The 25,444-nt window shown below is 40.8% G+C and overlaps 2 protein-coding genes across 26 annotated transcripts in view, besides 3 other annotated features; one reads left to right on the top strand and one right to left on the bottom strand.

Moving 5' to 3' along the window:
• Positions 1-22,521, top strand: part of REV1 (REV1 DNA directed polymerase) — an 89,726-nt gene extending 67,205 nt beyond the window's left edge. For 20 of the 25 annotated variants that reach the window (XM_017004311.2, XM_047444723.1, XM_047444721.1 and 17 more), the window contains 13 exons: positions 1,345-1,499; positions 4,051-4,170; positions 10,047-10,267; positions 12,131-12,303; positions 14,867-14,969; positions 16,508-16,673; positions 16,892-17,088; positions 18,321-18,554; positions 19,183-19,303; positions 19,892-20,109; positions 20,198-20,354; positions 20,652-20,754; positions 21,646-22,521. In XM_017004311.2, coding sequence (XP_016859800.1) covers positions 1,345-1,499; positions 4,051-4,170; positions 10,047-10,267; positions 12,131-12,303; positions 14,867-14,969; positions 16,508-16,673; positions 16,892-17,088; positions 18,321-18,554; positions 19,183-19,303; positions 19,892-20,109; positions 20,198-20,354; positions 20,652-20,754; positions 21,646-21,757 — 2,080 coding nt within the window. In that variant the 3' untranslated portion in view covers positions 21,758-22,521. Of the gene's footprint in view, positions 1-1,344; positions 1,500-4,050; positions 4,171-10,046; positions 10,268-12,130; positions 12,304-14,866; positions 14,970-16,507; positions 16,674-16,891; positions 17,089-18,320; positions 18,555-19,182; positions 19,304-19,891; positions 20,110-20,197; positions 20,755-21,645 lie in introns of all 25 variants that reach the window. The other 5 variants (NR_135652.2, NR_135649.2, NR_135650.2 and 2 more) reach the window with 2 other exon arrangements.
• Positions 103-172: a silencer, noted in NCBI's record as "silent region_11809". NCBI's record gives its function as "represses an Ori minimal core promoter by ATAC-STARR-seq in GM12878 lymphoblastoid cells {active_cell/tissue: GM12878}" and the evidence as "EXISTENCE:reporter gene assay evidence [ECO:0000049][PMID:35858748]".
• Positions 223-272: a silencer, noted in NCBI's record as "silent region_11808". NCBI's record gives its function as "represses an Ori minimal core promoter by ATAC-STARR-seq in GM12878 lymphoblastoid cells {active_cell/tissue: GM12878}" and the evidence as "EXISTENCE:reporter gene assay evidence [ECO:0000049][PMID:35858748]".
• Positions 18,421-19,620: an enhancer, noted in NCBI's record as "CDK7 strongly-dependent group 2 enhancer chr2:100019841-100021040 (GRCh37/hg19 assembly coordinates)". NCBI's record gives its function as "activates an origin of replication core promoter dependent on BRD2, BRD4, P300/CBP, MED14 and CDK7 cofactors, with strong dependence on CDK7, by STARR-seq in HCT116 cells {active_cell/tissue: HCT116}" and the evidence as "EXISTENCE:reporter gene assay evidence [ECO:0000049][PMID:35650434]".
• The window catches only part of EIF5B (eukaryotic translation initiation factor 5B), a 63,938-nt gene continuing 60,165 nt past the window's right edge, over positions 21,672-25,444 (bottom strand). The window contains exons 23-24 of the mRNA NM_015904.4: positions 24,089-24,250; positions 21,672-23,691 (exon numbers count right to left, since the gene is read on the bottom strand). Of these exons, the coding sequence (NP_056988.3) occupies positions 23,584-23,691; positions 24,089-24,250 (270 nt within the window). The 3' untranslated portion in view covers positions 21,672-23,583. The remainder of the gene's footprint in view (positions 23,692-24,088; positions 24,251-25,444) is intronic.

Below are 25,444 nucleotides of genomic sequence, written 5' to 3'. Positions count from 1 at the left end.
AAATACAGGAATGTTGGTATTGTCAAGTGGAACGTGCTTTAAATCCTCTTTGAAAGGAGGAAGTCAGTGGTAGCATCCAAACGAGGGCTAGATAGGGATGGGTGACTGAGGTCAGTACTGTGGTGCTCCTGTGTCCTGGGTATTGAAGCCCTAGAGCAAGCATCAGCCTGTGCCTGAGGTTATGAGGATGTGAGAGAGAGCTGTGACCTATACTCCTACACAGTCACATGCACACGGTCCCAGTAGAAGGCTGGAGACAGTTTCAGTGGCATGTTTCTATTCTTAGGGGAAAAATATCCACAGTAGTGTTCTTCTACCACCCTTGGGAAATCCTATCTCAGCTTCATATTCTCCCTGTCTCAGGGCAGCTTTCACTCTGAAGCAAAATACCTCATACCAGATATACCCTTCTGTTCTTAAAAATGTCATACTTTAAGCCTAAACAAAACATACTTATTTCTTTAATAGATTATTTCTTTAATAGAGATCTTAATCTGATTGTAACCTACCTACAGTAAGGTGTAGGTGAGAGATGAGGACCGCCCTCCTAGTCTACATTACCAAGTGGATTATGAAAGACATAGTTTTGATCCTGAGGCCTCTTGGGAAAGTTTCCTCCCATTTCTGGTCCAGTTCTATTTTGTGATTTCTTAGTCCTCGTATTAGCATGGGGGCCACATAGCAACTCTTGTCTTCCTTTTTCTTTTCTCTAATTAAAACAAATCCTTTTTGTGGATAGATCCTATGAGATGATTTTTTAAAAAGTATGTCCACATGCAGAGAGTGTAGATAACTATTCTCAGACAAGCAGTTGGGATGACTGGCCACTTTTTCCTTCTGTATTCTAGGCCTGCTACAGTGAGTGGAATTTAACTGTGATATTTTGGTTTTAGGAGAGTAGCAATTACTGATTTGTCTAATTTTTCTGTTCCTTAAAGGATTCTCATAAACCATTAGATTAAATGTTTTGACAGTTCAAATTCACCCACCGGTTTTCAACTCTTCAAAGGTTTATAGAAGTATTGTCAGTATAGAGAAACTGAAATAATAATTTATGCTGTGTTTTTGTTTTTTTGTGTTTAAATTTTTTTTGTTGGTTATTTTACTCCTCAAACATTTTCCTATCCAATATGCTGTATTTTGGTAGTTAATAAGGAGAAAGAGAACACACTAATTAACTTTGCAGTTAAAAGTTGGGTGACTAAAATGGTACTTCAGCCAATTCATTTAAAATGCTTTGTGAGGAAATAGAAAAAAGAGAGGATAAGAAGACTATTTTGCAACATTGGGTCTACCAGATGGTGGCTGTGGCTGTGATTCGTTGCCTTTGCTCTGTGTTGATAGCTACACTCATAACATTGAAGCTGTCAGTTGTGATGAAGCGCTGGTAGACATTACCGAAATCCTTGCAGAGACCAAACTTACTCCTGATGAATTTGCAAATGCTGTTCGTATGGAAATCAAAGACCAGACGAAATGTGCTGCCTCTGTTGGAATTGGTTAGTATCTAGCTTATCTTGTACTCAAAAGAGTTGCTTTGAGATTCTTGAATATCAGTTAATTTTATGGAGTTTTTCTTTTTATTAGCTTCCTCTCACTTGTAAAACCGTTTTTAGCATTGCTTACAATTGTGTGACACACGAGATAAGTGCTGGAAATATAAGTAAATGGTTGATAATCTTCGCAATAAATAAGTTAGAATATTTCTTACTTATTCTTAAAAAATTGGGAAGGTTTCATTCAACATTTGTAAACAGTTTTTTTTTTCCCAAAAGTGAACGGAAACCGTATTTAAAGCTAGGTGGTGGTATGGGTTTAGAGTTGCGTGTTAAGTCTGAGTCTTGTTACTCTCTGCACTTCAGCCTCCCGGCACATGGAGCTATTCCTGTCTTCACTCAGTTCTAGAAGTCACCCTGACTCCAAGTGCTCTCAGTAACTGTCCAGTCTCTCCTCCATCTCCATCCATGCTGTCTTTAAACCTTGTACTTTGTTTCCACAGCTGCTCCCAGCACTTACCCTGCTTTTTTGTTGATTCTTCCAGCCGTGTCCTCTGGAACTCTTTCATACTTAAGCTTCCCTGAGTCACCTCTTCCTTTCTTAACCCACTCATTACCTTCTGGCAAGATACCCCTTTTCTTGCCATTCTGTTACTAGAGCCAGTTTGTCCCTGCCATACTCAGTATACCACAGGCTTGGAAGGTAAAGTTAACTGTCTTAGCTTGCCATTGTCACTTTCAACCATTATTCCTCCATCTTCATCCAAAAACCCTTCTTCTTCCAAAGTTCCCTGTCTCCTTTGTACCCATGAAATTTACTAATGACTGAGTGATGATGCAGAGAGGCTAATGCCATTGAAAGAAGAATTTGTTACTTCCATTTCCCGAGAGGAGGGGCACACCGTGCTACACAGGACTACTGGGGAAGCACCAGGGTGGTTAGGAGACAGAAGCTGAAGGAGTGGCAGACGGAGCGCCTAGGCTCCAGAGCCTTTGTTAGGGTTTTTTTCAGAAAGGCAAGGCAGGGCTGAGGAAACACTTTAGGAGTGGCTAGTTTGAGTAATTCTGGTGGGCTCTGGGCTATAGGGGTGGTCCCTAGTTGCCTGGTAGCTGGCCCTGGGACAATTTAGGGCAGGAGGTGGTTAGGTTGCATATGACAAGTGTGCTTCCAGGTAAGAGGTTTACTGTCTTTAGGAATTAGCCAGCCCTGGGAGGGCAGTCTCTCCCCAGCCAGCAGGATTTTTAAGATTTCAAAACACTGCGAGATACAGAAAATAAAAAGTATGATTAATACATTCCCAGCATTCCTACAGCTACTGGCTAGCCTACCTTTTACCCCCTGATGTTGGCCCACAGACATTGGTAACATTTCACTTAGGAATTCTATATTCCATTGTCAGGCACAATTTTATTTTTTTGTTTTTAATTGTCCTTAATTTTCATTTATAAGTGATCATGTGAATCCATTCTTTTAAGTTCAAGCATATGTAATGCCAAAGTCCCACTTTATATTTCCACTCCTCAGTGCCTTTCCCCTCCCCTGAACTCACTACTTTTATCATTTTGGTGTGACTTCCCAGAACTTTCCCTGTTCGTGAATCTCTGTTTATATAAGTCTTCTATAAAACCAAGATATGTCCTCAATATAAGTCTTCCCTTTGGAGATTTTATTATTCACGGAGAAGCCCACCTAGCAGCTGAGCTCTGCAGATCCCTGCCCCTTCTCAGGGCTTGGTGCCCTTTTCCTCCACTGCTTCTGTGGCCCCTGCCCACACCTACACCGTGAACCTCACTGCCTGTCTCTGTGTTTTGAGGACTCTTCTACCCTCAGTTCCCACTGCTGCTTTGGGCTTTCTGGTTTCCCCAGTCCAGTCGCGCACTTTTTATTGTCATTTCCCTACCTCCTCTGTCTCCTGTGGTTGGGAACATGAACTACTCTTTGATCATGGCCTTCAATTCCTACAGACACCCACTCTGAAGATCAGGACTGCTGATTGGGCACGGTGGCTCATTCCTGTAGTCCCAGCACTTTGGGAGGCTGAGGCGGGTGGATCATGAGGTCAGGAGATCGAGACCATCCTGGCTAACATGGTGAAACCCCGTCTGTAAAAATACAGAAAAATTAGCCGGGCATGGTGGTGGGCGCCTGTAGTCCCAGCTACTCGGGAGGCTGAGGCAGGAGAATGGCTGGAGCCCAGGAGGCGGAACTTGCAGTGAGCTGAGATCACAACCACTACACTCCAGCTTGGGCAACAGAGTGAGCCTCCATCCCCCAAAAAAAAAAAAAAAAAAAAAATCAGGACTGCTTTCTCTATTCCTGCTTCTGGTTAGATGCTGAAGTGGCACTTGCGTTAGAGCAAAGAGAAACCTCTGTCCAGGTACTCTGTTGGTTATAATCTAAATACTTAGCAAAATTCTACACCTTATTTGAAATAATCAAAATTTATTTTCATTGTTTTTAGAAACTTGATGGATAACCTGTATGAAGAGATCTTTGTTGAGAAATTTAAAAAATAATTGTGACTATTTCTTGGATGACTTTTTTTTTTAATAGGTTCTAATATTCTCCTGGCTAGAATGGCAACTAGAAAAGCAAAACCAGATGGGCAGTACCACCTAAAACCAGAAGAAGTAGATGATTTTATCAGAGGCCAGCTAGTGACCAATCTACCAGGTAAATAGAAATATTTTAACAATACTTTTATTACAGGCATTACAAGTACTTTTCATATCTATAATATAGAACTGTGAGACCTCTTTTTGCCCAGACATGAATATAAAAATTTTTAAGTCTTATTGAGTGCCATGAAAAACAAAATTTGGAATTCTGCATTAAATATCCCCTAAAATGATTTGTCAGGACCTTAATGTTACATTTTTGTTTTGCTTCTATTCAGTTTTACTTTAGGTATTTCTCAAGTAGCAAGATTCTAAGAAACAATGTTAAAAGGGAGGATGATGAAATTGACTTTCAGTCCTTTAAATAAATGATTATTGAAATAGTTTACTCCTGGGCTAAAGATAAAAGTTTTGAGCTTCGATTCTCCTATGTCATGCTGCAGGACTAGCGACAGTTTTCTGAGTTTATTAAACAAGTACTTTTAAAAGTATAAATAGAATGTGTGTGAGCTGTATTAGGAAAAAGGAAACGTAAAGAAGGATTGTGTTTTCAATTAACTCCACTCATGGAAAAAAACCTTCCATCTTAACCTTTCTCACCTAAGGGGCAGGATGTTCAGTTATTTCATATTTTTGTGTAGTTACCTATTTATTATAAAGTGCCTCTGTCAGCTTTGTAAAGTCTTCCATCTTCATTTATAGTGAAAGTTTTAAAATTCATTTGTTAAAAGTAGATTTAGTGGCATTTTTAGATGCCTATTTTTAAGCCTAATAAAAGTATGTCCGAACTAACTTAGAAGTTTCTGTTAACAGGCCATAAATATTAAACGACAGAAATGGCATTTTATGGTAGGTTAGTTTTAAAGCTTCCTGACCCCCGTAGTATATAACTTAAAACGATGTATTAGTGTCAGAAATGTGTAATATGACATTTTTGATGGTTAGTTTCACATTTAATTTGAGAATACTTTATAAAATCAAACTAGCAAATTACTGTAGTAGACAACACAGTTTAAACATTTTTAATAAGAAATCTTACTGAAGTTTTATATAAGAAGGAACTGGTATATTTAAAGTTGCATGTAAAATTTGAGTTTTAAGTTTATTACACTAGCCATCTGTATTAGTTTTCTAGGGGTGCCATAACAAAGTACCACAGACTGGGGTGCATAAACAACAGAAATGCGTTGTCTCACAGTTCTGGAGGCTGGAAGTTCAAGATCAAGGTGTCAGCAGGGTTGGCTCTTTCTGAAGCCTCTGCTTGGCTTGTAGGTGACCCTCCTCTCCCTGTGTCTTCACATGGCCTTCCCCATATGCATGTCTCCGTCCTGATCTCTTCTTGTGAGGATACCAGTCATGTTGGATTAGGCTCATCAATATGACCTTGTTTTATCTTAATTACCCTTTAAAGATTCTGTGTCCAAATACAGTCACACTGTGGCCGGGCATGGTGACTCACACCTGTAATCCCAGCACTGTGGGAGGCCGAGGCAGATGGATCATTTGAGGCCAGGAGTTCAAGACCAGCCTGGCCAACATGGTGAAACCCTGTCTCTACTAGAACTACAAAAAAAATTAGCTGGGGGTAGGTGGCACATGCCTGTAGTCCCAGCTACTCAGGAGGCTGAGGCACAAGAATCGCTTGAGCCCGAGAGGCAGAGGTTGCAGCGAGCCAAGATCGCACCACTGCACTCCAGCATGGGTGACAGAGTGAGACTGTGTTGAAAAAAACAAAACAAAAACAAATACAGTCACATGGTGAAGTACTGGGGTCAGGACTTCAGCATATAAATTTGGGGAAGACACAGTTTAGTCCAAAACACCATCTTTAAATCGAACCCTTTTTGTAGTTTTCTTTGTTTTAATAGAAATAGGGACGTTTTAGCTACTTGACCTAGTAATCCTACCATTCACCTTCATTTGCTTCCTGGCTGGAAAGACTTTATTTCTTTTTTTTTTTTTTTTTTTTTGAGATGGAGTCTTGCTCTGTTGCCCAGGCTAGAGTGCAATGGTGCGATCTCGGCTCACTGCAAGCTCTGCCTTCTGGGTTCACGCCATTCTCCTGCCTCAGCCTCCCGAGTAGCTGGGACTACAGGCACCCACCACACAGCCGGCTAATTTTTTGTATTTTTAGTAGAGATGGAGTTTCACCTCTGTCTCGGTCTCCTGACCTCATGATCCGCCCGCCTCGGCCTCCCAAAGTGCTGGGATTATAGGCATGAGCCACCGTGCCCAGTGAGACTTTATTTCTTGAAGGGCAAGTGTGAAGTTACATGTCCTGGCCAAGCTGAGGCACAGCCTTGAATTTCCTAAGGGAGATTTGAAAGATAGGGCAGCAGAGTTGGCCTTCTCTTCTTCAGAGCCAGGTTCTGTATTGCTCACAGTGGTTCATGTGGTTTTCATAAAATCCCCAAATCCTTAACCTGACTGTTATAGAACATTTCAGGTCTATAAAATATCTCCCTTCTCCATTGTTACTCCTGTCCTGAAGTGTGTTCCACAGATTATAAGCTGTTCCTTTAAAAAGGGGTTTCATATAGGAGAGGGAACCTTCTGTGGTGGAGGGGTTTGTACAGTGAAAGTCCTGGGAATTATTTTAGAAAAGAAACCTATTTATCTTTGTTAAAGACTAGTAATTTCTCAAAGATATTTGGTGATAAATATACAGTACCTATTTATATCTTGTGGAACACGCTTTGGAGGAACTTGGCTCTCTAACCATAACCAGGAGAAATTCAGTGGTAACTTGCCCCATCTCCAACCTCTTTAGTCCCTTGTACCCATAAATGTTTAGTGACCACATACGTGCTGCGCACAGTAATAAACAATTAGAATAACTACATAAGAAGGAAAAACACAATAGTAAGTTTTTGCTTTAGGAGACTCCACAGAATAATAATTGTGTATTACACTAATAAATACGTTTCTTAATATGATCCGGTTACCTAATGAAAGAAAGGATTGACCCCAACGACTATTACAGTTTGAAGAACCATTTCTACTTTTTCTCTGGATCTTTGCAGGGCTTTTTACCTGCGCATGCACTCTTCAATGAAGGGCCCTCTGCACCTCATTCAGCCTTTGCTAGGTTTGTGCATCTAGCATATGGATTCCCTCTCTATCCCATTTTCAGAGAACCACCATGATCATGTAGGCATTCATAAAGTCTGCACTAATACAGTAGCTACGTAGCCAAGTGAAGCTAGTACAATATGAGTTAAATTAAAGTTAAATAAAACTACCAGTTCAGTTCCTCACTGCCCTGGCCACATGGCAAGTGCTCAGTGGTCACATGGAGCAAGGTTCTCCTGTATTGGATAGCAGACGAGAACATTTCCATCACTGCAGAAAGTTCAGTTGAACAGCACTCCTGTAGATGGTGAAAACTTTATTCTTTGAAGTTTACTCCTCTATGTCTGTATTGGATAGCCAAGTTCTGGATGCCAAGGAGGGGACATTATTGGCCACTTTTAACCTAGGGTAATAGTTCCCCTTCAAGGACAGATGCCAAGTCTTTGTCCCAGTTGCTTGACCAGGAGCCTCCTTGACTCTCTCTTCGTTGAGATTTGATTCTAAAAGAGCATATTTTCCTTCACCTTTTCCTTAATAGGTGGCTGCACTCTTTGGGCCCGGAGCCCCCCTTACTTTGTCCATAGAGTTGCCATCTTTCCCTTATAAACACCTACTTAATTGACGTATTTAGTTAAAACTAGCAGCCCTCTTCAAGGTTTTGGTCCTGGCTCCAAGTTTAATTTTCCCACCCCCACTCAATAGGAGTTGGAGGTACACCACATGCCCTGCCTCCCTCCCCCACCTCCGGTTCAGGCCATTTCATTCCATCAGATGAGCCTGCATGGAGAAGAACTGTGCTTCTTTCATAGAGGGATGTCCACTTAGATTAGATTGATTACGGTTAACTTGGTGATGTTTAATATAGCCTTTCCTTTGCACCTGTAGTGCATAATTTGTTGTGGTATACTCAAGATACTCTAAAATTTTAAACTATGGGGTTTCCACCCCAACACATGGACACACTAACACAACCCAGGATGATGATTGTCTCTTGCTAATCTTGGAAGTCCCTGAGAACAGATTTGTTCCCCAGAACTGTAACGGAAAGATCATGGTCAGATTATGGGAGTGGGAAGTGAGGCAATAGTGGGAGGGACAAAAGAGAGACACAAAGTCTTCCCTGATGTTAAGAAGTCTTATGACAAAAAAGAAATAACAAAAAGAGCAAATTGAAGAAAAAAGTCTTTCTTAAAAGCAAATAGCTGTGCAAAGTGTCTACCTTTGACAAACCCAAGTATGTAATTTGTCTATTCCCTTGTGTTTCTCCTCCCCATTTTGAAAAGCACTTAGGTTTCACTTAAAATTTTACCTTTTGGTGAATGGTACTTCTCTGGAGGAATTTTTTTTTTTTTTTAAATTGTTAACTCGGGGTCTTTGGTATTTACTTGCCCTTTGTTCTGGCTTGGACTTTAAAATGGCACAATTGTGAACGAGCACGCTTAACGCCTTCATCTCACTTCCATTAAGGAATAAAGTGTCTGGGTTTAAACTTGTCTGACCCACATTGATGACTTCCTAACCTTGTGTTATATACTGGTTCCAGAGGTTTTCCTGGCAGAACTTGGACTAGATAGTTTTTCTGCTACTGAAGACCACTCAGGAGGATGGGAGCTATGAACAGAAGTTAGCAGACTTCACTCTGAGCTCTCTTTTTTAAACACAGGGTCTTGTTCTGTCACCTAGGCTGGAATGGAATGGCAGGTTCATAGCTTACTACAGCCTCAAACTCTCGGGCTCAAGGGATCTTTCCAACTCAGCCTCCCAAGTAGCTGGGACTACAGGAGCGCACCACCACACCCAGCTAATTCTTTTTTCTATTTTATAGAGACGGTCTACCTCAGTTGCCCATGTTGTCCTCAAACTCAGACTGTTGGCCTCCCAAAGTATTGGGATTACAGGTGTGAGCCACCACACCCAGCCTGAGTTCTCTTTTGATAAGTTCCTACAGAAGACCAGAAACACAACGCTGTCTTTTCCTCATTGATGGAAAATTTTTACTTGATGGTGTGGAACCATTTTAATAAGCATTATAGTTTCCCTCAGTTACTCCAAACCTCTTTCCCAAATTTGTGGACCTTTTTAAAGCATTTAGGGCAAATTGAAGAAAACCAAGACTCCAACTTAGAGCAACAGAATTAATCAGTATCCTTTAGGTGGGGCTCAAACGTTACATCTTGCAGAATAGGACATAGGGACTGCTGCCTGCTGGCCCAGCTGTAGGAGAGTTCATATCTCTTCAGAGAGATCATCCTTTTGATTAAAAAAAAAGTCTGTCTTCTACCCCAACCACCAGTTGGTTTGGTTAGGGTCCTTCATCTTCAGGTCAGTGGTATGTGTGATAGCATGTAACATTTCTGGACTTTGGCCCATTTTGTGAATTCTTGTTCTGTTTTTCACTGAAAAAATGTGGCTGATACCACTGTGAGATTTGGTGATGACCGAAATCATAATAGATCCCTTACATTTCGTGAGTTGGTTAGTATGTCTGTAAGTCACACTATAGACTTGTTTAAATGACAGTTGATTCCTTAGTTGATTTTGTGACTAAGATACATATCTTGGTATTATTCACTAATAAAGAAAGTGACATTTTTGATAACTTGAGTTATACATATTTTAAAAGTTTCTGGTTCATCTATATGTGGAGTCCAAATTGAGAAGTAGAGTCTAGAAATACATCTACTAGCATGATTTTGCACCAAAAAATTCTTCAGCCTGTGGATGCTTCAGTTATGTTGCCTAAAGACTTTAAAGATTATTTTAAACTAGTTGTTTTGTGCATAAATGGTGGGTATTTTGTGTTAATAAACTTGTTATTAGTAGCTTATTCTGCATACTTAACTATATTCCCTTTCCTAGGAGTTGGACATTCAATGGAATCTAAGTTGGCATCTTTGGGAATTAAAACTTGTGGAGACTTGCAGTATATGACCATGGCAAAACTCCAAAAAGAATTTGGTCCCAAAACAGGTCAGATGCTTTATAGGTTCTGCCGTGGCTTGGATGATAGACCAGTTCGAACTGAAAAGGAAAGAAAATCTGTTTCAGCTGAGATCAACTATGGAATAAGGTTTACTCAGGTACTGATCATTGAACAGATTTTGCCATCTGTTGCTCTTTATATTTTTACATAGTCCTACCTCTACAACTAAACCATTAGACCCTCAATGCTTGAAATTAAGTCTTAAAACTGTTGTATCCCCAGAGCCTTAAGAAGGCCTTTTAAGGCACTGTGTGGTAAGGTGTAGCCCCAGATAAGACTGAGACTGAGGAAACTTAGCTCTTGGGGAAATATACTAAAAGATTATGCTTTGGAGGCCAGTTATTAGAGAACTTGAGATTATAATTATTCTAATTAACAGTGAAAAAATAAAAAAGATGAGAAAAATATTTTTAATGTTGAAATATTTTTTAAGCTGTAGTTAAAATTAAGTTTCAGCAAACCCCTCCTTATGCAAGCTTTTGGAAAGCTGCAGCACAGATGGCTGAGTAGTTTCCATTTTCCTTCAGATTATGGATTTGGATATGTTTTTTTTTTTTTTTTTTTTTTTTTGAGATGGAGTCTCACTTTGTTGCCCAGGGTGGAGTCTCACTTTGTTGCCCAGGGTGGAGTGCAGTGGCGCAGTCTCGGCTCACTGCAACCTCCGTTTCCCAGATTCAAGAGATTCTCCTGCCTCAGCCTCCCAAGTAGCTGGGATTACAGGCACCCGCCACCACGCCCGGCTAATTTTTTGTACTTTTAGTAGAGACGTGGTTTCACCGTGTTGGCCAGGCTGGTCTCAAACTCCTGACCTTGTGATCTGCCCGCCTCAGCCTCCTAAAGTGCTGGGATTACAGATGTGAGCCACTGCGCCCGGCTGGATATGTCTTGAATTTGTATGTACAAACAACACCATATCATAAGGATTTGAAATGTGATGAGTTAATTACCCTCTGTGCCTACACTGTGGACCTCAGGAGTTTTGTTTCCTTAGGCATGGAGATAGATGATGTTTGGGCTGTAAGCACAGTGTTGGAACACACATTTTATTAGCAGAACTTATTAACATAGTTACAAAAGAATTTTCGACAAGTCAGTGATGGCATAGAAAAGAAAGAAAGGGGCCCTATGCGGTGGCTCACACCTGTAATCCCAGCACTTTGGGAGGCTGAGGCAGGCCGATCACCTGAGGTCAGGAGTTGGAGACCAGCCTGGCCAACATGGTGAAACCCCGTCTCTACTAAAAATACAAAAAAATTAGCCAGACATTGTGGCAGGCGCCTGCAATCCTAGCTACTCGGGAGGCTGAGGAAGGAGAATCACTTGAACCTGGGAGGCGGAGGTTGCAGTGAGCCGAGATCATGCTATTGCACTTCAGCCTGGGGGACAAGAATGAGACTGTCTCAAAAAAAAAAAAAAGGAAAGAAAGGAAAAATATCTTTTAAAAGTACTCATTACTTTCACTTTGTTGGGAAGGTGGGTATTTGTATTTAATAGTTGAGGGTATACCAAACAGTTTTTGTTGTTGTAGTTTTACTTTTTTGAGACGGAGTCTCCCTCTGTCGCCCAGGCTGGAATGCAGTGGCATGATCTCAGCTCACTGCAACCTCCGTCTCCTGGGTTCAAGCGATTCTCCTACCTCAGCCTCCTGAGTAGCTGCGATTACAGGCACCCGCCACCACGCCAGGCTAATTTTTGCATTTTTAGTAGAGATGAGGTTTCACCACGTTGGCCAGGCTGGTCTCGAACTCCTGACCTCAGACGAATCCACCAGCCTCGGCCTCTCAAAGTGCTGGGATTACAGGTGTGAGCCACCGCGCCTGGCCACGTTTCTTTTTAATAGATGCTGAGCGTGATAGTGAGTAACCAACATGTTTAATATTCAAAGTTAAAATACTTGAGAACAATTATTAGGTATATAGGAAAGTGGAATGGTAGTTTCTCCACGTTTGTCTTTCCATAGCCAAAAGAGGCAGAAGCTTTTCTTCTGAGTCTTTCAGAAGAAATTCAAAGAAGACTAGAAGCCACTGGCATGAAGGGTAAACGTCTAACTCTCAAAATCATGGTACGAAAGCCTGGGGCTCCTGTAGAAACTGCAAAATTTGGAGGCCATGGAATTTGTGATAACATTGCCAGGTAAGCTCACCTCAGAAATGATATTGGTAATTATATTTCAGTACAGGTTGTTGTAAGTAATAGAAAATGAAGAAAACCAAGGAGGAGTTTGAATAAAGACCTGTAAACCCGTTAATCTGGTATTCTGTAGAAGCAGGCATCAGCCCAAGGCATTCAGCTTAGGTTAATGCACTTGGTTTCAGCGAGGCCCACACACAGGAGGTTGGTTTGACGGCATTGCTGACCTTGGCAGCCTTTGCTTGGCATCTTTGGGCTGTTAACTTTACTGCATGGACAGAAAGAAAGGGCAAGGCTGCAGACCAAAGGGACTGCTATAGTTTCGGGACTTGGTGAAACTTTTTTCCTGAGGAAAATTTCAATGTAGTTCTTAAAAACAATGATACAGGCCAGGTGTGGTGGCTCATACCTGTAATCCCAGCACTTTGGGAGGCTGAGGCAGCTGGATCACTTGAGGCCAGGAATTTGAGACCAGCCTGGCCAACATGGTGAAACTCCATTTCCACTAAAAGTACAAAAATTAGCCGGACATGGTGGCATTCGCCTGTAGTCCCAGCTACTCAGGAGGCTGGGGCAGGAGGATTGCTTGAACCCAGGAGGCAGAGGTTGCAGTGAGCTGAGATCGCGCCAGTGCACTCCTGCCTGGGCAACAGAGCAACATTCTGTCTCAAAAAAATGATACACAAAGGCAGACTATAGTAGCTAGAAAAATGATGGTGAAGGAGAGCAACTTCATTTACATAGGTGTATACATTTAATTGGTAAAAAGATGAATGAATCACTGTAATGTCTGAAAACTGGTAAAAGCATTTAAAAACGCTGTTTTTTTTGGGGGGGGGGGGGGTTGTTTGTTTTGAGACAGAGTCTGGCTCTGTCACCCAGGCCTGAGGGCAGTGGTGCGATCTCGGCTCATTGCAACTTCTACCTCCTGGGTTCAAGCAATCCTCCTGTCTCAGCCTGTTGGGTAGCTGGGATTATGGGGCATGCCACCATGCCCAGCGAATTTTTGTATTTTCAGTAGAGATAGGGTTTCACTATGTTGGCAAGGCTGATCTTGAACTCCTGACTTCAAATGATCCGCCCACCGCAGCCTCCCATAGTGTTGGGATTACAGGCATGAGCCAATGTGCCCGGTCTGAAACACTCGTCTTTTATGTCAGGGCCAACTACTTAATATTAAACTTCATGTAAGATTCGTGACCAATATGAAGATGTGTGGTTTTACATGTCATTTTATATTGCACTGTATTTCATCTGTGAAACCAAAATTTTGAGACTTTTGACACTGAAAGCTACTTACAATATGAAGTATAGTTTCATTAAAGATTAGCTCATGCCAACCATACATGGTGCATTCATGTATATGATGATATTGCTAAGTCGTGAGACGACTGCTCTTAAACAGAGAAACTCCCAAGTTACCATGAAAGCAGGAATTATAAATTACAATTAGAGAACATAATTTATAAAATACATTTTTTATCAGTTGGTTATCTTGAATTATATTTACCTACCTGTTATGATACACATGTATCTCAAATAGTAAATAGTGGTCATTTATTTATTTACTTTAAAAACTTATTTATGTAGAGACAGGATCTCGCTCTGTTGCCCAGGCTGGCCTTGAACAATCCTTTTGCCTTGACCTCCCAGCGTTTTGGGATTACAGGTGTGAGCCACTGTGCTCAGCTTTTAGTGGTTATTTCTATAAGCAGATGAAGTAATGTGATTATCTTCTTAAACATTTCTATGGGAAAATCCAATTCAATTTATAATAATTTTTTCTGGGAATATTTCTTGTTTAATGGCCTGGAACTTCATTTGTTCATTATACATGGAAAGGATCATCCAAAACACGAAATAACTTTCCTTTGGAAAGAGAACTGGTAGTAATTTGTTAATCTGTTACTGAGTTAGTAATTCTGTTTGCAATGGGACAGCCCGCTCATGCCAGAGAAGCTCAAAAGGCTCTGAAGGAAATGGTGGGTGAGGTCAGCACATCTTTGAGACCTAATAATGCTGATGGACCATTTGGTCCTCCTTCAAGAGTTCTTAAAGATCTAAGAATTGTTTATTGGCTGTACTGTAAACACAATGAAAGGAGAGTCAAGAAACAACATACAGAGAATTTATCTTTCTCTTCTGAATATTTGCTATACCTCAGCATACATAATCTTGGAACCTAAAACTTCTCTTGGAATCAAGAACATTGTGTTTACCATTCACTTGTGCTTTAGCTGGAAAATATGTATTTATTTGTGCATATGTTAGCTAAAATCTACCTTTTTCTAAATTTCTCAACTTATTTTTAGTTGACCTAAGTGTCCATTACGGTTTTTACCTTAAAGTTCTAGTGTTCCATAATTTTTCTTTCCCCCTTGGTTGCCAGTGTAACTAATTTGGTATTTCTGGCTTCCTTGAAGGGAGACTATGGCATTCACTTTTATAATCTTCTTTGTAACTGTTTACAACTTTTCTATAACTCTTTTAAACAGTTCCATACTACTTTAGTACTAGTGAATACATATGGAATGAAGCTTTTGTTTTTTAATTCTATCACTTACAGGACTGTAACTCTTGACCAGGCAACAGATAATGCAAAAATAATTGGAAAGGCGATGCTAAACATGTTTCATACAATGAAACTAAATATATCAGATATGAGAGGGGTAAGTATATAGTAACATTGTAAATTCTGACTTTGTGTAATGTATCTCTCATTTTTGAGGCTTGCTCTCAAAAGGGTTATTGCTGGTGTATAGGGACTTTATATGTAGGTCTTTAGCTGCTTTGTAATACAAGGAAAAGAGAAACAAAAATTCTTGACTTCCTCCATTTTGACCTCCTTCATTTTAGAATAATTTTCTTAGATTCTTACTGTACTTTTCCAAGGTACCCCTGATTAACCAGGGGCTAATATACATGTCTTCCCTGTTCTTGTTTCCTAGAAGTAGATATGACTGTGAGGAATATGAATACATAAATTTTGTACCTTTAAGTTCCTTTTTAATCAGAAACATACTCTGCATCTGCTGTATGATGACCTAGAAGGGAGTGAAACCACAGGCACATCAAGATGCCTTTGAAACAGGCAAGAGGCATCAAAATGTCAAAACCATAGATTTTTGTGTGGGGTTTTTTTTTTTTGAGACAGTTTTTGCCCTGTTGCCCAGGCTGGAGTGCAATGGCGTTGTATCGGCTCACTGCAACTTCCGCCTCCTGGGTTCAAGCAATTCTCCTTCTTCAGCCTCCCGAGTAGCTGGGGGTACAGGCACCCGCTACCACGCCCAGCTAATTTTTTGTATTTTTGGTAGAGATGAGGTTTCACCATGTTGGCCAGGCTGGTTTCAAACTCCTGACCTCAGGTGATCCACCCACCTCAGCCTCTCAAAGTGCTGGGATTACAGGCACTTGCCCCCATCTCTACTAAAAATACAAAAATTAGCCGGGTGTGGTGGTGCATGCCTCATAGTCCCAGCTACTCGGGAGGCTGAGGCAGGAGAATCACTTGAACCCAAGAGGCAGAGCTTGCATGAGCCAAGATCGTGCCACCGCACTCCAGCCTGAGTGACACAGTGAGGCTCTGTCTCAAAAAAAAAAAAAAAAAAAAAAAAAAAGAACCTTTGTAGGTTTAGTTTTATGTGTGCATATGTAAGTAAAGGGTTGTTCTGGCTTGATGTGGGCTTTGTTGAAAGATTAGTCACTAAGCCAGCCGTAATTGTGATTTCTCCCTGAAATACTGTTATAATGGCACTTTATGGAGGGGTCTGCAGTGTACCTGCTGTTCATCACTCCCGCCAATATTTTTTGAGAAGTATTTCATTTAAAAAAGATAAAAATAGTGAAGTTTCCAAGTAGACTGTCCTCTCTTAATTTTTTTTTATCCTAATTTAAAACCTTAGTTGACGAGAACATCAGTGGAATACAGTATTCCACTTGTTTGGATTTTCTGATTTTAAAGATCTTTTGGTATATTTTGGGAGAATTGGATACTCTGAAGTTTGAGATGAATGACCACTCACTAGCTACTTTAGAAATTGTTTTTGTAATAAGTCATATAGAATGCTGTTTGAATACTTTCATTTACCTTTATTCTAGAAACAGGATCCAGGAGATAGTGAAAAGGATTTGCTGAGGATTTTGCTTAGCTGAATTCATATTTTCACTTTAGTTTTCCTAGAAGCATACTCTTTATTCTGGGTTCTAGGTTGGGATTCACGTGAATCAGTTGGTTCCAACTAATCTGAACCCTTCCACATGTCCCAGTCGCCCATCAGTTCAGTCAAGCCACTTTCCTAGTGGGTCATACTCTGTCCGTGATGTCTTCCAAGTTCAGAAAGCTAAGAAATCCACCGAAGAGGAGCACAAAGAAGGTTGGTGGTCATCAATGTGGTTCTTTTTTAGGTGCTGCTTATGTCCTTGGAAAGACGGCAGTTGGTTTTAAAATTGACACAGCTTTATGTGATTTTAAAAATTTATATTCTTCATTATGATGAATCAGTAATAAAGTTTTTTTATTTGTAATGGACAGAGGATTAAAGGCCCTGCCCGATGATCTGAAGAGGCTATTTTATATATTTTCTTTTTGTAGTATTTCGGGCTGCTGTGGATCTGGAAATATCATCTGCTTCTAGAACTTGCACTTTCTTGCCACCTTTTCCTGCACATCTGCCGACCAGTCCTGATACTAACAAGGCTGAGTCTTCAGGGAAATGGAATGGTCTACATACTCCTGTCAGTGTGCAGTCGAGACTTAACCTGAGTATAGAGGTCCCGTCACCTTCCCAGGTACATTTTTGTAGTCCTAAATATAAGTACATTTTATACTCCTAAATATAAATACAAAAATACAAGTTTACAAATGAAAATGGCATTTTTATTTCTTCATCCGTTTAACCAAGAAAGGGAGAACGGGCCACTTGTTTGGGTAGATCATGATGTTGGATTCTAAATAAGCAATATTTGGGTTGAGTGAAAGTGCTTTTGCAAAGATTTGCCACTCTTGCAAGTTGTAAAGCATAGCTGAAAGGCAGTCCTCCTGTGGACTGCCATTGTCTGTGACAGTGGTCATCATGCAGACTTACTGTATTCAGCAAGGCAGCTTTGGTGATTAGTGGTGAAGTAGAGGCCTTATGTCGAAGGGTTTTTGCAGTATTTGCAAACAGGTCTCTGGAGATTTGGATGGTTTAATTCAGCGTGTGTGGGCTGTACATGTGATATACTGCTGGTCCTTGAAAGTAAGGTAGCACCTTAAGCTATATTGGGCAAGTTTATTTGTGCCTCTGCTCCCCCTGCATGGAAGGAGGCGGAAGGAGATGTTAAATACTGGCTGCAAAACTAGGGGAAAGGGCAATGCTGATATGCTTGTATGGCGACAGATACCCACAATTAGTTACTCCTGGCAAGATAAGATTGGTCCACCCAGTTGATGGGATTGCATGTTTCCAAAGGGCCAGATGTGGATGCACAGGTAGGCCCTGGCCAAAGGAACAGTGGATTCTGTCCTGTAAGTTAGAGAAAATTCAGCTTCTAGAAACCCTTTCTTCCAGTGTGCTGCTCTCAGAGTAGAATTATTTGTATTTTTGGGCAGTCTCTCATCTGAAAGGTGAACTTTTGACCCAGGACTGTTACCTGTCCAGAATTTTAACATGTGCCTCAGGCCTTCACCCCTCCCTGGGGTGGGATCTAATTTGAGCTTCACCAAGGCTATTCATATCTGTTGGCCCCAATTGCAGGACATTCTGTGAGTATATTTGGACTTACCTGGTCATGTGATAGTGGCTGGTAGTATATATACACTTCTTTCCAGACTACACATAGTACTTCAGGCTTCAATGACAAAAGGCCAAGACGTTCCAAAAATGTGCTGATTTGGAGGTGGCTTTCCTAGCTTGATGGTCTGTACCTTACATTGATTATCCACAGTATTCAAATTGAAATTTAAAGTGGCGTGTTAACTCCCAAACACCTCATCTCTGAGCATGCTTTAACTTCCTACTCATATGTTTGGCATTTTATAGCTGGATCAGTCTGTTTTAGAAGCACTTCCACCTGATCTCCGGGAACAAGTAGAGCAAGTCTGTGCTGTCCAGCAAGCAGAGTCACATGGCGACAAAAAGAAAGAACCAGTAAATGGCTGTAATACAGGAATTTTGCCACAACCAGTTGGGACAGTCTTGTTGCAAATACCAGAACCTCAAGAATCGAACAGTGACGCAGGAATAAATTTAATAGCCCTTCCAGCATTTTCACAGGTAAGTTAAATATGGGAACCCTCTGCTGTAGTTTCAATATTCTCACCCCCCTGCTCCAACTTAGGACCTGTCTCACTTCCCTTTCTCCTCTGTATCTGACACCACATCCACTGGGGAGGGGAGGGGAGGGGAGGGGAGAGTGGGCTTGTCTCCATCTCCTGCATCTGCAGGATGTAGACACAGAGCAGCCTCCCGCTGAAGCAGCAGGGAAGAGACGGGGGAGGGCATGCTAAGACAGAAACACACTGATCTGGGGCAAACACATCAATGGCCACACTTGAATACAACAGAGCGGAGATGTATAATCCTGCATGGGGGACAGTAACAACCTGAGTCCCTGTTTCAATGTTTTGCTTCCCATTTTCTACTAGTGCATTTTGCCCAGGTTCTGCTGTTGTAGTGGGTTTCTTTAAGTTAGTACTCTTAATTCCTTATTCTTGCTCTTAATTCCTTATTCTTGCTCTAACCATTTTGAAGATTTAATCAGCTTTGATATTGGGGAACTGTTAAGAATTCGTACAGATCAGAAAAGTGAGATTTGAAAACAAAGTCTGTTTTGTGAAAAAGAGAAACCAGCTACCATCTACAATTAGCTCAGGTTTGACTTTGACCTCGTCTTTTCCACTAGGTGGACCCTGAGGTATTTGCTGCCCTTCCTGCTGAACTTCAGAGGGAGCTGAAAGCAGCGTATGATCAAAGACAAAGGCAGGGCGAGAACAGCACTCACCAGCAGTCAGCCAGCGCATCTGGTGAGCCTTGGAAGTGGCATGTAACAAAAATGAAGACAAAGAGTAATGGAGTCACTGTTGTCTAATTATTGCAGTATATAATGGGCAAAGTCTAAGCTGTTGCATTAAGAGCTCTTCATATTGGGATAATATCTGAAGTATACAGTATGAGTAAATATCATCATATTTCTAGTTGGATTTGTGTCTGTACTTTCAGGATTTAAACACACCACTTTTTACTTTTTAAAAAGTTGGAATAGGACATTACCACAAATGTCTTAAATACTTGTTCAGCTAGTTGTCCTTTGAGATGAATACATTAAAGGATGTTGGTTCAAAATGCATCACAAACATCAAACCCACATTTAGTACTACCCATCATAGATGAGCAACATGCCAAAGGTCAAATTAGTAAGTGGCAAAGCAAAGAGAGAATTGGAGAGCCTGTACTTTGGGCCATTGCCATTCACTGCCTCTCACTTGGGGCAGGAGGGGAGGTGTAGGCTAGGGAGCCTGTTGTATTTGGGAGGAGAAAAGAGAACCCAATACTGTCATCCAGACTATCCATACTATCATTTTGTTGAGGATCTTATATCCATCTGCTCTTAGTGCCAAAGAATCCTTTACTTCATCTAAAGGCAGCAGTGAAAGAAAAGAAAAGAAACAAGAAGAAAAAAACCATTGGTTCACCAAAAAGGATTCAGAGTCCTTTGAATAACAAGCTGCTTAACAGTCCTGCAAAAACTCTGCCAGGGGCCTGTGGCAGTCCCCAGAAGTTAATTGATGGGTTTCTAAAACATGAAGGACCTCCTGCAGAGAAACCCCTGGTAATTCCTTAACTTTGACCTTTATGAGATCTTAATATACCTGGATAATGTGTGAATATAGCAATTTTATCCTTTGTTTTCTTAACAGGAAGAACTCTCTGCTTCTACTTCAGGTGTGCCAGGCCTTTCTAGTTTGCAGTCTGACCCAGCTGGCTGTGTGAGACCTCCAGCACCCAATCTAGCTGGAGCTGTTGAATTCAATGATGTGAAGACCTTGCTCAGAGAATGGATAACTACAATTTCAGGTTGGCTTGGCCTGTGTTAGATGGCCCAAGGCTGAGATGTAGTCGTCTCATGATTTGAGAACATAAACAGACTAAACTATGCAGATTTAACCCATTTCTCTAACTCTGATAAGCTTAAAGCAGCTACCCCCAAATCTTTTAAATTCTGGGACTTGCTTTGAAAAGTAACAAAGCCCATTCCTTTGATAGCTGTTAGTGACATAGTTGTAGAAATGCAGTTTTCCTTTATCCATGCAGATCTCTGACTTTCTCCTTCAAAAAGACTGGTCCTCATTTGAAGTTTTTCCCCCTTCCTAGATCCAATGGAAGAAGACATTCTCCAAGTTGTGAAATACTGTACTGATCTAATAGAAGAAAAAGATTTGGAAAAACTGGATCTAGTTATAAAATACATGAAAAGGTAGTAATTCATCACTTTTATCAAATGGGAAAAAATGGCATGTCACAATGGCTGAGGGTGTACTGAGTTGTTTTAAACTTTCTGGGAAACTGTACTCATTAGGGTTAATGAGAAAGTGATATCCTTTATTTTGCCATGTTGACTAAGTAGCAAATAAGGTTCCAAATATGTTGCCCTCAAGGTCTTACATGTGATTAAAAAACCATAGGAAGTGGGCTGGGCACAGTGGCTCACGCCTGTACTTCACTTCGGGAGGCTGGGGTGGGTGGATCGTTTGAGACCAGCCTGGCCAAAATGGCATAACCCCATCTCTACTGAAAAATACAAAAAATAAATAATCTGGGGGGGTGGTGGTGCCCACCTGTGGTCCCAGTTACTTGGGAGGTGGAGGCTGCGGTGAACCATGATTGCACCACTGCATGGCTCCAGCCTGATCGACAGCTTGTCTCAAAACAAAATAAAAAAAAATTTGAGTGTTCTAGGATTTTATTTTTTTTGAGATGGAGTCTCACTCTGTCGCCCAGGCTGGAGTGCAGTGGCAGGATCTTGGCTTACTGCAGCCTCTGCCTCCTGGGTTCCAGTGACTCTCCTGCCTCAGCCTCCCGGGTAGCTGGGATTATAGGCATGTGCCACCATGCCCACCTAATTTTTCTATTTTTTGTAGAGACGGGGTTTTACCATGTTGGCCAGGCTGGTCTCAAACTCCTGACCTCAGGTGATCCGCCCTCCTCGGCCTCCCAAAGTGCTGGGATTACAGGCATGAGCCACACCGCACCTGGCCAGGACTTTTTTTTTTTTTTGCCAAAGTCAATTTTTATATATAAAAAGGAATAATTAGTCTTAAGGACCTTTCCTAATTCCTAATGACATTTCTTCTCTCCCCACCTTTAGGCTGATGCAGCAATCGGTGGAATCGGTTTGGAATATGGCATTTGACTTTATTCTTGACAATGTCCAGGTGGTTTTACAACAAACTTATGGAAGCACATTAAAAGTTACATAAATATTACCAGAGAGCCTGATGCTCTCTGATAGCTGTGCCATAAGTGCTTGTGAGGTATTTGCAAAGTGCATGATAGTAATGCTCGGAGTTTTTATAATTTTAAATTTCTTTTAAAGCAAGTGTTTTGTACATTTCTTTTCAAAAAGTGCCAAATTTGTCAGTATTGCATGTAAATAATTGTGTTAATTATTTTACTGTAGCATAGATTCTATTTACAAAATGTTTGTTTATAAAGTTTTATGGATTTTTACAGTGAAGTGTTTACAGTTGTTTAATAAAGAACTGTATGTATATTTTGTACAGGCTCCTTTTTGTGAATCCTTAAAAACTCAACTCTAGGAAGCAACTACTGTTTATTATACTAAAAGGCTGAAAAACCTCCAGGCCAGACTGCTAAGCTCTGAAATTCCTGAGAGGTCTCAGACCGGGATTCTACTTGTTCCAAGAAAGGGTAAAGCTTCTAAACCATCTTATTCTTGTCTCCAAGCATGAACACAGGAGCATGTTAAGAAAATCTTTACTACTTCTTCCATGCGGAGAAATCTACATATTTTGAATTAGAAACACCCTCACACCCACTTGAAGATTTTTTTCCTGGGAACATTATGTCCCGTAGATCAGAGGTGGTGTTGTCTTTTTGCTTCTACTGGCCATTGAGAAACTTTGATGATAAAAAAGAACGGTATAGATTTTTCAAACGTATATAAAATATTTTTATGTTATATGTTATGCCATAACTTTAAAATAAAAATAGTTTAAAATTCTATGCTAGTGGATATTTGGAACTTTTTCCTCAAACAAACACCCCACACTGACTTCAGCAAAACCCTAAAACTAGCTACAGATTACTACTACGAATGAATCATTAAGTTTTGTGTCTGCAACAATTTAGAAGCACTAAGCCCAAATATCAGGAAATGTGTGTATGATGGAATTTTCTAGGACAAAACAGATCAAGATTAAAACAGATCAAGATTAATGTATAAAAATCTCTACTAAAACAGATCAAGATTAAAACAGATCAAGATTAATGTATAAAAATCTCTACTGTTACCAGGTGCTGGCATACAAGGTAGTGTGATGATAGTTTAGTTTGTAAGATAATTCTTGTCCTAGGAGGACAACTTGTGGGAGAGAAGCTACACTAACATGGAAGCCTAACAGAGCTTGCTTACTGGTGGATGTCTGTTTTCTTTATTGGTAGTTTGGTTTAGAATTGTGATGATTACAATGGACTCGTGACTACACAAGCAGTAAAAAGCAGCCAGCTGTGCTTTTACACCATGGTTTCACACAAAGCAGCTAAAGAAATATCAGAATGCCTAATTTTCTATTTTATAAAAGCCCTAAAGGCATATGGCAGAAGAATGCTGGAAAAATCACTGTGGGAAGAATATGCATAAATAAAGAAGTATTTCTTACGTCAAAAAAGTCCCAAGAATCACAAAATCTGCAGAAGCTTGGTTAATCAAATACTGCAGTACTGATTTAATCAGTATAAAATCGAAAGAGCTTTAGATCTGTAATAAAAATCCAAATTTGGGGAAGGGCAAACTTTAAAACAGCAGCCAAGTAGAGAAGGGTTGGGGAAGGGAGAGGTGAGTGAACAGGCACATTGGAACTGTGGGGACATGTAACTGACCACTGTCAAACCAGTGTAAGTTTCTTGGTTTCTCATGGAAAACATTTTATACACCTATTTTTCTTCCTTCCATACTTAAGTCCATCAGTGTCCAAATACGTCTGTTCCATTTTTTGTCTGATTTTTGTTGGGATATTACAACACAGTATTGCATTTACTCCAGTTCCTGCTCCATGTGAAAAAATTAGATGATTTCAAATACTTTCTTCAGCTCCACAATAAGCTGCCAGTCACTCTTCTGCATTTCATCTCTGAACCAGTCTTTGAGTGCATCAATGGACTGCCGGCTGATCTGCAATGCCCGAGGCACAAACAGGGTAAACAGAACATAACAAACGTGCCAAAGAAAGCTGTGGCCCCAGATGCCCGCTCTCACTGTACTAAAAAGCTTAAGCAGAAATAAAAAACAGGGCTTGCCTGCCTAAGGGAGTAGAATTCCAAAATCACATCTGGTTTGCATGTCAGGCACGAGGGGACCTAAAAGTCCTAGCTTTCTCTGTTGGTGCTGCTTTCCTGATAGAGCAACTTCCTCAACAGACAAGGCCCAGCTAGAGGTCAAGCCCTAATGGGGGATCCAGTCCCATCAGATTCTACAATCAAACTGAAGCCCAAGGAGCTACAGGTACAGGTGACCCAAGAAGAGTGATTCCCTGTTGCTTAAAGTGTGCCACTTTTGCTGAAATACTTACCTTACTAACAAGAATATCTGTAGCTTCAAAATGTCTTCCAAACATTTTGGGTGACTCACCAGGGATAGGTTCTATTTTTACACAAACTTCTTGTCCTTTTTTTGCAACATCCACTTGTTTATGGTTTATTTCAATACTTGTTACTATTCCGATGTCAACAAACTATAAAATAAGAACAAATTAAAATGCATGCAGAAGAATTCATGCCAATCACAGGCGCCATGGCTGGATAGCTGAAGTAAGAACTAGAGCAAAAGCCTGTTTTAAAAGTCATGGCAGTGCGATCCTTTCATCACTCACGGTGTAACATTTTGGTAAACTAGGCTGGCACCACCAACACCCTATTCCCTTCATGATGGTTGTAAGAATGACAGGAGATAATGTGCTTTGCAAAACATTCCAAGTGCCCTGTTGACCCAATGTCATTTCCTATTTTTGCTCTACCATTTCACGTGACAGGTGCCGTAATAGGAGGGATCAGCAGGCACAAAGGGTCTGAGTCAGGAATGAGCTTGAAGTGGCTGATGGGAATGAAGTCAGAGTGAGGACCAATCCTGAAATTTTAAGAATGATGGCCTGTGAGCAGATGAGTGATGTGATCTCAGAGTTTGGGGCAAAAAACCCTGACTCCTTTGTGGAGAAAAAGATTCAGGAGAGTAAGAGTGAAAACAGGGAGAGCTCTGGTTGGTTTAGGAGGCCAAAGCCACATAGAAAGTAACACAAATAAATGTCCAGGCTTAGTCCACTGAAATGGTAGAAAAGCAATGACAACTTCTAAGTGCCATTGCCCATTACAAGAACCAGGTTTGGGCCAGGGAAAGTACTAGATGAGGCTGGAACATCTCAACCAGAAAGGAAGATGATGCTCAGACTGCTGTGTGTCAAGGATACAGGAGCCAGTTGAGCTCCTACTGACCACAATAGAAAATCTGAGTATCAAAAGAATAAAGGTAATGGATTATATTAAAAAAAAAAAAACCCACTGAGTCTATGACTCAATAAAAAGGTCAGTGGGAAGAGGTTCTTTGTAAGAAATGGGGGGACAGGTATATCCACAATTTTGCAACCATCTACGTAATAGTTGACTTAGGCAACGCTTGCCAGTGGGTACTAAAGGCACTGGGATAAAGGCTGTTGAGAAACAGGATATCCATTAGGAACTCCAGGTACCAGACAGATTACAGAGTAATTATAAAGGGGCAAGTTTCTAATGGAGATGGTTGGCGTCTAGCACTTTCCCCAGGAAATCAGAGCATCAGCAGCAGTCAGACAGGCTGGGTCATGCAAGAGGCAGGCACACAGGGAAACTGCATGAGTGTCTTTCCAATAATTCTAACCTGTGTCTAGTTGGGAGGG

The sequence above is a fragment of the Homo sapiens genome, chromosome 2 (assembly GCF_000001405.40).
Source record: "Homo sapiens chromosome 2, GRCh38.p14 Primary Assembly".
Classification (NCBI taxonomy): domain Eukaryota; kingdom Metazoa; phylum Chordata; class Mammalia; order Primates; family Hominidae; genus Homo; species Homo sapiens.
This window is presented reverse-complemented; position numbering and strand designations above follow the sequence as displayed.